Source organism: Homo sapiens, chromosome X (assembly GCF_000001405.40).
Source record: "Homo sapiens chromosome X, GRCh38.p14 Primary Assembly".
In the NCBI taxonomy this organism is placed as follows: Eukaryota; Metazoa; Chordata; class Mammalia; order Primates; family Hominidae; genus Homo; species Homo sapiens.
In genome coordinates, this window is record NC_000023.11 from 20,219,604 (window position 1) to 20,232,761 (window position 13,158).

The 13,158-nt window shown below is 36.5% G+C and overlaps 1 protein-coding gene across 14 annotated transcripts in view; it reads right to left on the reverse strand.

Moving 5' to 3' along the window:
• Positions 1-13,158, reverse strand: part of RPS6KA3 (ribosomal protein S6 kinase A3) — a 117,187-nt gene that overhangs the window by 69,693 nt on the left and 34,336 nt on the right. The window lies entirely within an intron of this gene.

The following is a 13,158-nucleotide window of genomic DNA, read 5'->3' on the forward strand; positions in this document are numbered from 1 at the left end:
AAAGAAGTCCAATCCTTGGGTTATTAGCAAAATGAAACACTTAAGAAGCCATGTTGGAAAAGAAGGAGGGGTCAAGCTACCATATAATCCCTTACTCCATTTCATTTCATCCTCTAATACGTTATAGAAGTTTTTCTAAGGTATTTTTACTTTGGAAAATGACAGGTATGCCAATATTCAGAACATAATCACTGTAATAGTGGTATTTAAAACAACCGAAGGACAACAGCTTCAAGAGTTGTGGGATAATGCTCTGCTTAATGAACATTTAATCTATGTGGAACCAACAAAAACCTCAAGTGTTAATCTGCACAGCCTGTAAGAATTTAATAAAAGCACGGAATTTTCAAAATCTAAAGACACTCTAGAAAATACCAAGAATAATCAGCTCACTTTCTGGATGAAGAAACTGTGGTCAAGGTAGGCCCATATTTGGTGATAGAGCTATCTATAATGGGAGTTCAGTTTAGTACCCATTTATTGAGCAAACATTAGAGAGACCATTTTGTGCTACAGATTCTACATGAAAAGCCAGGGCTCTTCCTCCTCTATCAAATTTTTATGAAAATGTTCTATAAATGACCTAATGGAAGTTGAAGAGTAACTAAAAAAAAAACCTTGCTCAATTTAAAAAATTATCTTATACAATCAAATACATTAGCAGCAACAGGGACCCAAATAAATATCTAAGATAGAACTTTGAATTCCGCCCGGAAAACTGTGCACTCCTCTTGTTTAAAAACGCATGCTTCAGTTTTTCAGCAAGGCAGACACTTAGGAACTCTCCCATCTCCCAAAAGGAATTACTTAAGACTCCTTACAATGGAGCTCCAAAAGGGCAGCAAGGCTAGGACAACCGCCTAACACAGAATGGCAGTCTGAACATGAGGTGGCTCTTGAGACTATGTCAGGAAAAAGCATCATCTTTACTGCACAACTCATGAAGTAGGATATCTCTGTTAAGTAGCAGTCATTGACTTTATTCAAGTAATATTTTTAAACATGAGCAACCAAATACCCTTTTTTAAACTTAAAGGATTAGTGAAAATTGGCTTTAATTACTACCAGTGCTCAGGTTAATAATTCACATTTTGCGTGTGTTATGGTTTTTAATAATCAGCACTAAAATGAAGCAATATTTCAGACACCAAAATCTGAAATAAGTCTCCAAGTTGAAATGATACCTTAATTAAAACAGTGTGGTACTGCTGTAAAACACAAATAGAGTGACTGAAAAGAATGTGGCACTGTACATCAGAGGGAGATGTTAGGATATATGGCTACCTGTTTGGAGAATGCAGACACCATAAGGGAAAGTATTAATACAGATTTGATTATAAAATTTTAAAAGGTCTTTACATCAAAAGGCACCAAAGTTAAAAGACTAGCTCATGTGATTGGAATTCCTTATAATCACATTACAACTCATCAATGAGCAATTGCTTTATTCAGGTGTTATCTATCTCCTAACCAGAATGTGAGCTCTTGAAGTCCTTTGGTACATCTCTTATGGTATTTATTACTGTTTAAGCACATCCCATTGCCAGATTAATCTTGAGATTAATACCAAATATCACACATAAGACCTCAAATAAATGGCTGCCTTAATAAATATCATATGCTGAAATCTGAAATGGATGCTACTTGTGTGGTTGTGCACATGAAACTAGATACTGTTCTTTTTTTCCATCTCTAAAATTTCTTAAACTTTATCTCACTAAAGTTTTGTTTTAAACATTTTATTGATTTAATCATTTACCTTATTATTTAAAAAGTAACTACTATTATAAAAATAATGGATGCCCATTGTAGAAAACTTAGATAATAAACAAAAAGGGAAAAAATTTAAAAAAATCACTATTTTGGTGATTTTCTTTCCAGTCTTTTCTATGCACATATATGGACCATACTACACATAGTATCACTTTTTCTGTAAAGGGACAGATAGTAAATATTTTCAGCTTTGCAGGACATACGGTTTCTGTCAACTCTGCCAGTGCAGTGAGAAAACGAATGGGTAAGGCTGCGTTCCAATAAAACATCTTTTACAGAAACAGGTGACAGGCCCATGAGTGTAGTTTGCTGACCCCTGTTCTCTAATCTTCAATGCATTATTAAGAACTGTTGAAAATTCTATTATACAAATCTCCTATTGTTGGGTCTTTGCTCTACACGATGGTCTGTCCCATCCTTTGTACACATTCACATTTAGAAATAATTTCTAGAAGTAGAACTGTACATTCAAGAGTATGCAGCATTAAGGTTTTGGATCCTAACTTATTTGGCACGTTGTCCTCCAGGAAGAACCTGAATAATAAGGAAGGAACCACATCAAGACCTTGGGCAGGGGTAAACTACAGCCAGGCCTGGCCAGCCTAAGGGCCAAATCTGCCCATGTCCATCTCTGTTTAAATATTATCTTCAACTGTGTTTGCCCACAATGGCTACCGCCGAGTTGAGTATTTGCAAGAGAGATCATATGGCCTACAAAGTCTAAGATATTTATTTACTATCTGGCCCGTTATAGACAAAGTTTGCTGACTCATGGGGTAGAGTCCTCAAACAGAATGAACAGCAAATGCCAAAGCACAGAGATAGGAATTAGCTTAATGAATTCAAGACACAAAGGAAAGGCCACAGTGGCTAAAATGCAATGAACATCAAGGAAAGAGGAAGGAAATGAAGAGGTTTAGGGCCATATTAAGTGAGGCCTTAGACCCAAGAAATTTGGGTTTGGATTTTATTTCAAGTGTAATGGGAAGCTAATCTTGCTCATTTTAGGCAATGACATTATTACCTATCTCAAAAACCTATGAGTCCTTTCTGGTCTTTCCTTTCTTATCTAATTTCCTTCCTTTCATATTTAACCCCTCAATAAATTCTACTAATTTTATCTCAAAAATAAACCTAAAATCTGTCTATTTCTATTTCCTCTGCCATTCCCAGTACAAACTATCATCTATTGCCATAAGACTGGTTTCTCTGCTTCTAAATTTTCCCTGTGAAATCCTTTATCTTCACAGCAGCCAGAATAATCTTTTTTTTGTCAGAAATTTTTATTTATTTAAAGAAATAACATTGGTTATTGACTAGACATATATCATTATGGTTTAGGGTATGAGATATAGTGTCCAATGCGGTATCATTAGTTTAATAACAGCAGCCAGAATAATCTTAAAACAGAAAGCAGACTAATTTATGCCCCTACCTCAAATTCTTCAATGGCTTCCCATCACAGAACAAACTCCAAACTTCCCATCGTCTACAGAGCTTAAAGTAAGCAGTAGTAAATGCTATCTTGATCCTGACTTGGAGATACACTCACTAATTCATTCAGACATAATGTGAATATTTGGTTTTAGATATATAGTGTTAAAGTCTATTTCCTCTTTACTAAAAGAGGAATGAGTGCTAAGTTTTGTGTAATGTCTTTTTATCTATTAATATTGTCACTTAATTTTTCTTCCTTTGATCTACTGATAACTTAGACAAATAAATTTCTTAATATTGACCTATGCTTGTATTTCCGGGAAAAATCCATTGTTTTAGTATAATTCTATACGTAATTTGTAAATATTTTATTTAGGATTTTTGCATTTATATTCATAAATTAAACTGGCACATGGTTTCCTTTTCTATGCTAACTCATTTTCGGGACTATGCTAATTCTATAAAACAAGAAGGCAAGGCAGATTTTTTCCTATGTTTTGGGACAACTTAAAGACCACAGAGTGATCTATTTCTTGAAAGTTTAGAAGATTTTTCTCTTAAGAAATCACTGAACTTGGCATTATAAGGGTGGACGGAAAGTGTGGTAGTGCTAATTTTTTAAGATTTCAACTTCTCCCAAGGCTATTGGTATACTGTTTCTCTCTCCCTTCCCAAATTTAGATTTTCCTAAAAAAGCATACATTTCACCAACTTTCATATTGGTATACTGTTACACTTAGTATTCTATTAAGTTTTTGAAATTAAACCTAAGGAAAATTCCAACCATATGCAAAAGTAGACAGAATAGTATAACCTTCATGTGCTCATCACCTAAGTTTAATAATCTTCAACTCACAGCCAATCTTGTTTCATATGCTCACTTCCCCAACTCCTGTAGTTGATTATTTTGAAGCAAATCTCAGACGTTATATCATTTTATCTGTAAATATTTGGGTTGTTATGATGTTTTAATCTCCTTCCTATCTGTGCTTATATCCTGTTTTGCTTTCCTAATGTTGTGGATTTGCTTTTGTGTGTTTTCCCTTGTTTTCTAATTCGCTGATTTTTGAAATTATATTTAATTCCTTCCTCTTGCTTTTTATAGGTTTACTTTGTAGTTCTTTTTTTCTAGTTTCCTTCACTGAGTCCTTAGTTGCTTTGAGTTCTCTTATTTATTAATAAAGTTTTCTTTCAAGTATAACAATAACATTTAAGATACTACTATATTCTAGGCACTGTGCTTTACATGAAATTATCTCAGCTGATTCTCACCAATGAGGTAGGAACTATTATCCACACTGGATGAAACAGACTAAGGCTTAAAGAGAAGTTAAATAATCTGCTGCCCAAGTTCTTATAGTTTGGATGTGGAAGTGGTCATGATGTTGGTGGACGCATAACCAGGTAATTTGGTTTGGGGAAGGAGAGTGCACATGAATGGTCGGTGACTGACTTAGGTAAAAAAACAGGAGGTGCTGAACCTTTTCATCAGACCCCAAAGGAAGAGGGCTGAGTATGGGGACTGTGACAGAGTTCCTGAAAACTTTTCTACACCATACATAACACCTGTCTGGCAAAACCCCAACCATGATAAAACCCAATTATTAACCATCCTCATGACCCCATGATGACTGAACCCTGTTGAAAAAAAAATCGACCCATACGACAAAAACTTAAAATTAACATGTTCTTAATTGATTCCACTGGATACTTTTTTGTGTGTGGATCATTCCTTTTTTCAGACACTAAAAGATTTAATTTATAAGGATTTCCATCTAAGTGCAGGACAGTTAATTTTTTTAAGCACACATCCATCAATAGACAGTGTTATAAAGTGGTAAAAGCCTAAGGTTTTAAACCAGAAATGGGAAATAAGTTTCATGAAGATGATCAACTTGAAACAAATGGTAGTGTCTTCCTAGAGCACTGAGCGGGATTTCCTAGAGCACTTTCAAAGTCCTGTCTAAATGGAAAGCATGCTATGTTTCACTCACAGAATCTCCCGTCGGCATGAAGAGAGGGTGAGAGGCAGCAGCACCATAGCCCCAGGTCTGAATTTTGCAGTAAGTTACAATATACCCTAGGTGGTATCACTTCTCTTCCTGTCCACACATTTTTTTTCTTGCTTAGCCTGAAGTTCTTTTTACTTAGTCATGCTTGTCTAAAATAGTTAAATTAAAATACTCATTTAGGTAAAGGGGTTACAACTTTCCATATGCCAGTATTTCAGGTTGACTCAACCAACCAACCATTCATACTTGAACATAATTAAGTCACTTTGCTTTCTTTCAAAATATGGATGAGATCACTGAAACTGAAGGAATGGGTATTGTGATGAATATACTAGAACAGAAGAGAAGCAATTTTGGGTCAGAGGCACCATAGGAGGGAAGGTAAGCCATGATAAAAAGGGGAGGTTTTTTTTTTTTGTTTTTTTTTTTGTTTTTTTTTTTTTTAAGCTCTTAGGGGTGGAGGAACAGGACACTAGGAAGTGAAAAAATAGCCCTGAAAGACAGCCAAAAATGTAGCAAAGGGAAACCTTTGCCTGTGCTTGGAAATTTTCCTGGTGTATACACCCTATTTAATTCCACCATGCAGTACTAATTATACTGCTATTTATCTCAGAAATATTTTCCTAAGTGGTATATACTTAAATCTACTAGGGTATTTTCCCCCAAGCTCTGAGTACTCAAATACACTCTCAACCAATGAGAGTTAGAACGGCAGACAATAAACAATCAGTCAATAAGTGTTATTAATATACCATGGTACAAATTTTCCCTGCCAATGAGCACTCTATTGTATTTTCCTGTGTTGAGTGAGTAATTCACTGCCTATTGTCTACTCTGCTAGGGCTTCTCTTTCCACAGTTTGTGTTTGAACCATGATGGCTGTAATAGGTGTGCAATGGTATGCTGTTAACATGGCTGTTAAGGATCATTTTGGATGCTCAAATGCAAGTTTTAAGGCAACTTTGTGTGAAGTAAAAGTTTTTACTTCAGTTAAGTAAAGACAGGAAAAGGCTGAACCTTTAGAAAGCCAGAAGAAAGGATAACAGCATTAAAATGCCAGAAGATGGAAAAGAAGTGGGGCCGAGTATGGTGGTTCATGCTTGTAATCCCAGCACTTTGGGAGGCTGAGGCAGGTGGATTACTTGAGGTCAGGAGTTTGAGACCAGCCTGACCAACACAGTAAAACCCCATCTCTAAAATACAAAAATTAGCTGAGTGTGGTGGCATGTGCCTGTGATCCCAGCTACTTGGGAGGCTGAGGCAGGAGAACTGCTTGAACCTGGGAGGCGGAGGTTGCAGTGAGCCACTGCACTCCAGCCTGGGTGACAGAGTGAGACCCTGTTTCCAAAATAAATAAATAAATAAATACATAAATAAGAAGTAGATCTAAGATACGGGAGACAGGCAGATAGCAGGGCAAATAACAAAGGGCAAAAGAAGAGATTAAGTGTGTGAAGAACAGAAAAATCCAGCCAGAACAGAATGGCTCTATCACAAATAGAAACCAAGGGGATATGTTCAAGAGACATCACAGGATTAACTCCATACACTAAGAAGGTCTGAGTGACGGTATTTAATGTTCAGGAGAAATCGGGCTCTCCTTTATGACTATCCTTTTAGTCAAACTGATTTAGCTATCTCCAACACATCTCACTTTTCCTCCCTTTGACTTTTGTTTACACCATTTTCCCATAAAAGTGCATTTACCCAAATGTTGACATTTACTTCTCAAAAATCCTGTACCTATTTTTTAAGAATCAGGTTAAATTTCATGCCTTCTGTGAATTTTTGCCTGATCACACCAGTTACAACTACTTTTTAAATTTCACTTGAATTTTTATCAAAGGCTTTATAAAGGGTCAAAAAGCATTTCAAGGCTTGTAATGAGAAAGCAGCAATATATATGCTCTTGGTACCCTTTCAGTTCTTTTCATTGTTCCCTCTGGTATTTGCCTTTATGTGATAAATAATAACCTTATAATACTTTCTCTTGATTCATCAATTTCAGATATTACCTTTAGACACCCTATTACAGATGACTTGGCACTCATATCACAGATTTTGGTTAAATCAATATTTAGTCTTTACAATTATTATGACTATGTAAACACTGCTCACTGCCGAGGTAAAGAATATACTTTAGTTACATCTCTTGTGTACAATTTTTGTTTTTCCTTAAGTTTACAGTTGCTTTGTTTTTTAATTTGCTTTTATTTTCTTTGTACCTATTTCAAATTCTTCCTACTCTGCAACAGCCTCTCAAGTGAATTTTCAATACCCAAGTCTATTTAGATTCATCACTTCTATTCCCCCACCTCTTCCCCCAATCCTGTTCCTGGAGGCAGCATTCTTGAAATTATCTGTCTTCTTCAATCTGGACTGAGTACTCTCTAAGCTTACTGAATGAACTAGTCTTCTGAAGCTTCCTTTAATCATCATAATGGGAATAAACTTTCATCATGCTTGTAGTACTGGATCTTTTGTTGCCAAATCCCATGTCTCTCTTACTTAGTTAATAACCCTCTAGTGTTGGCAGAGCCCATTTTCCAGCGACTTCCCAAAATAGGTCCATATCTGAAAATATCTTGGCTGAAAATCATTTTCACTAAGCATTTTAAAGGCGTTGCTCCTTGTTTTCTAACTTTTGATGCTGAAAAGTCTAATATTCTTCTATCCAATCTTTTATATAGGATTAAAAAAATCTCTAAAAGCTTTTAGGGTCTTCCCTTTATCACTAGTGTTTTGATATTTCAGAGATGAGCCTTCTTGAGAGTAGGGCTTTTTAAAATTTCTCTCATTAATAGGCTTTCAGAGGGACGTTGTAATCTGGAGACTCATGGTCCTCATTTTGGAAAATTGCTTTTTTTTTTAAAATTTGGTATTTTAGTATTCCACTTAATCTAAAAGCATGATTATCACTATACCATTATGAAAGAAAAGATGCTGTCAATTAATATATGTCATACTATGGATTATAATAACCATTCTGATTTCAGAGATATTACAACGTAAAAAAAAATGTTTCTTATGGTATTTCTTTCCTGCTTTCTTCCCCTTCATTTCCTCTATTGTCTCTTTCTGGAATTCCTATTAGTTAGATGTTAGATTGCTCTTCTTTCTTTTTCTCTCCTACTTTCTACCTCTTATTGTTCTACTTTTTGAGAGCTTTCCTCAATTTTAGTTTGTAAATGTTCTACTAAAATACAAAACATTCCTATTATATTTTTAACTTCTAAGAGTTTCTTCTTTTATGATTTCTTTTTTATGGCAAGTTACTTTTTCTTGGGGAATCAATTTTGTCTCAACACTCAGAGGACACTAATTAAACTTGCTTTTTCCCTGCATTGTTTGTTCCTCCAAGATCTCATTCTTTTATACTGGAAGACTTCCTCAAATAACTGGTGATATTTGGCTTTCCATAAATATTTGCGTGAGGCATTAGGAAGTGGCCTGGAAGTTATTGGCTTGTCAACTGGGAGGCTTTCTTATAGGTTAACTAGCCAACCAGGCAGCTTTTACACTAAAGGTCTCCCAAAGGACAGTATCTGACATTTCTTCAGTCACAACGCTCATCCTCCTTCCTGGAGGATATGGTCCCTAGTGGTTGGAATGGGACCAGGTCACCATTCAGTAATAGGTTTTCACTTGACCTCCCTGTTTCCAGCCCAGTGCCTTACCCTACTTCTTCCTGTGTCCAAGGTGCCCAAGTATACAGCTTCTCTGGTTTTCTCTGTGAAATATCTTCTGTCTCCAGAGGAGAGAGGATCTAGAAACTCTTTATATCAATATTCAACCAATCTCTGTTTTCAGCCCCATGCCATACGTCCATGTTCCACAGTACCTGGCGACCCCATTTTTGAGCTCTTCTGAGGCTCTGGGGGCCTTGAATAAGACTTGCTCACCATTAGGATATTCCTCTAAAATCACTTATGTTCTATTAATTTCATCTTGTTACCACTCTTCTATCTGCTTTTCATATTTATATCTTGTGGTTCAAGTTACAGATATCTTCTGATTTCAAAGACCAAAGTTCTGATTTCTTATTCTCCTTGTTGTTTTGGGCGGTAATTTCCCAGAGAAGAAGAGGACAAAAACAACTTTATTTTGCCATTTTTAAAGCTGCAAGTTTCCCTTATATGCTTCTGTAACAACGAATGTAGCAGAGTACTTGGCACCTAATAGACATTCATTAACTACTTTGTTAGTGAATGACTAGATGTAGTTAGAATATGGACTAAGCTACTATAAGAAAAAGATCCCCAAATGCGACAACTCAAACAAAGTAAGTGCCTTTTTTTTTTTCCCCTCACAGAGCAGTCCATAGGTTAAGAGCATACTTTTGGGTGAAGAGGTGTCACTAGACCATTAGGTCATTAAGGGACCCAGATTTCTTATTATCCACCTTCTCTACTGTCTTGTCCTAGTCGAAAGTGGCTTATCATTACATTCTGCATTGTAGCCCATGGAAAAGGGGCCAATGAACCTGCAAGAAAGCCTACCAGCTGACGACCTCCATACATAAATTTATTATCTCACAGTTTTGGTGGACCAGGAATCTGGGCCAGCAACCATGTGAGCTTAGAAGCAGATCCTTCCCTAGTCAAGTTTCAGATGAAACTCTACCCCTGGTCCACACCTTAATTTCAAGTCTGAGAGAGCCTCTGAACCAAAAGATGCGGCTAAGCTCTGCCCAAATTGCTGGTCCACAGAAACTGGGAGATAATAAATGTGTGTAGTTCTAAGCCACTAAGTTTGGAGTAATTTGTAACACATCAAATAGATAATACAACATCTCAACGTTCCCTATGTAAATTATTAGTAGTTGACAAAAGGAAAACTTTTAATTATATATAAAAAGCAAATACAATTTTAAATTATAAGGTTAATAAATATTTTGACAATCTTTTGTATTTAATATCATTAAATAAATATTAAATACCAGGCTTTTATCTGACACCTAAGCCTAATTTGTATAATCTGGAATGATCTGCTCAACAGTCTCATCCACATTGCTGGTAGTATCTTAGTCCTGCATCTTTCTGACCTGTCTCTAGAATGCAGGTTCTTGCAGATGTAAATGCTACTAAAGCCATGAGTAGGAGAAAGTACAAACCATTTAACATCACAATGGAAAATGCTTTTAGACTACAGAGAATAAAAAATTTGGAGGTTTTCCTTCTGATTGTTTTTACATTAGCTTACATGTAAATATATATACTACAGACTAATGAAGTAAACTGCCTCAAATGGTTTTGGAGAGGGTAGGAATCTGAAGGTAGCTCAGGGCACTAGGCCCCATGCCTGGGTCCCTATGCTAGCTAAAACTTAATCCATTCATTCATTTAATTAACAAATACTTATTGAACACCAACTGGGTACTGGGCACAGACATAAAACAAGGAATAAGTCAGACTTGGTCACTGCCTCATTCAATTCACAGTTTAGTAGGGAATATAGACCAAGTAAATAAGCAATGGAATCTGGTATGGTGTTGCCATTTAAGGTATGCATAGGCTCCCGTGGCAGCAAAAAGGAAAAACACTTAACTCAAGGTCAAAGTGGAAGTGGTAGTTGTAAAGGGAAGACATCTCAGTTGAAATGACATCTAAACAGATCTGAAAGATGACCAGGAATTAAGTAGTGGGGATGGCGGTAAGGGAAAAGAATTCTGGGAGAAGGAACATTGCCTTTGAAAGCCCATAAGCAAAAGAGAAGCTGATACATTTGAGTGACTGGACTTTCAGTAGAGGGTAGAGGTGTGCGGCTAGAGAGGATGTGGAGAGAAGTATGCAAAACCTTATTATGCAGGGCCTGGTAGGTCATGTTATGGAGGTTGGGTTTTTATTTAAAGGAACCATAAAACTATGGAGGTGTTTTAAGCAGAAGGTTAAACTGATCTTATTCTTCCACAACTGACATAACGTTCATGACAATTTGTTTGATTTCTGAAAAGTTAACACTCCTAAGATGCTAAAAAACAGATAGAAACACCTAACATTTTAAATATACATACGCAATAACCAGATGGAAAACATAGCAGAAAAAAAATCCCACTTATGACATAACAAAGACTATACAACTATAAAATACCCATAATTTGTCTTAACAAATGCACAAGAACTGTATGTAAAAAACTATAACTTTTTTTTTTTCAGACAGGGTCTCACTCTGTTGCCCAGGCTGGAGTGCAGTGGCATGATCATAGCTCACTGCAGCCTCAAACTTCTGGGTTCAAGTGATTCTCTGCTTCAGCCTCCCAAGTAGCTGGGACCACAGCATATGCCACCATGCTTGGCTTATTTTTAAACCTGTAGTAGAGACAGGGACTTACTATGCTGCCCAGGGTGGTCTCGAACTCCTGGGTTCAAGCGAACCTCTTGCCTCAGCCTCCCAAAGTGCTGGGATTACAGGCATAAGCCAACACACCCAGCCAAGAAACCATAAAATTTTGATAAAGAATGTAAAAGAAAATCAGAAAGAATGAATGTTCCTGAATGTGAAGACTCAATATTGTTAAAATAATTTTTCATGTTAATCTGTAAATTTAAGGCAATTCTCATAAAAATCCCAATAAATTTTTCAGAAGTACTTGATGAACTGATTGTAAAGTTTATCTGGAAGATTAAATGTGTAGGACTACATTTATAAGACTACATATAAGACTTTTTACAAAAGTAAAAAGGTGGGAAGGCTTGCTTTACCACATTTAAAAAAACATATAATAAAATGACAGTAATTGAAAAAGTATGTAAAGTCAAAATATTCAGGGGGATTGTGGGTTGAATTGTGCCCTCCAAAAAGGTATGTTCAAGTAATCCCCGGTAACGGTGAATGTGACCTTATTTGAAACCAGTGTCTTTGCAGATGTAATTAAGATGAAGTCATATTGGAGTGGGATGGTCCCAATCCAATGACTAGTGCTCTCATGAGAAGAGGGAAATTTAGACACAGACACAAACAGAGAGATCATCTGATGCCCGAGGCAGAGAGTGGAATGATGTATCTACAAGCCATGGAATGCCAAGGATTGCTGGCAAACACCAGAAGCTGGAATAGGCAACAAAGGAACCTCCCCGAGAGCCATCTGTTGTTTTAAACCACCCAGTTTGTGGTAATTTGTTATGGCAAAGCAGGAAACTGATACAAGGGGTATAAGGCAATTTTATACATGATAAAAGAGGTATCTCAAATGAGTAGGGAAATAATAGATTTTATTTATTCAATAAATAGAGGTTAGGATAACAGGCTATCTATTTGGAAAGAAAAGTTAGATTTCTACCTCATACCAGGTACTAAATTCCAAGTGGATCACAGATCTAAATGTAAAACAAAACAAAAAACACCAAAAAACTATAAAAGATCAAAATGTAAAAGGATTATTTTTGTAACCTTAGTGTAGGGAAGGATTTTCTAACCAAAGCATGAAACCCAGAAGCCAGATGTGACCATTTAAAAATGAAAACTTCTGGCCAGGCACAGTGGCTCTCGCCTGTAATCCCAGCACTTTGGGAGGCCGAGGCGAGCAGATCACAAGATCAGGAGTTTGCGACCAGCCTGACCAATATGGTGAAACCCCGTCTCTACCACAAATACAAAAATTAGCCAGGCGTGGTGGCGCGTGCCTGTATCCCAGCTACTCAGGAGGCTGAGGCAGGAGAATCGCTTGAACCCGGGAGGCAGAGGCTGCAGTGAGCCGAGGTAGTGCCACTGCACTCCAGCCTGGATGACAGAGCAAGACTCCGTCTCAAAAAACAAACAAACAAACAAACAAAAAACAAACAAACAAAAAACTTCCGTACATACTACAATGAAAGGCACATAATTAATGTTTAAAAAAACATATTACAAGATACATAATAGACATGGAGTTAATATCCAGAATATATACAGAGATTGTACAGACCAATAAGGAGACAACAAGTAACCCCAGAGAAAA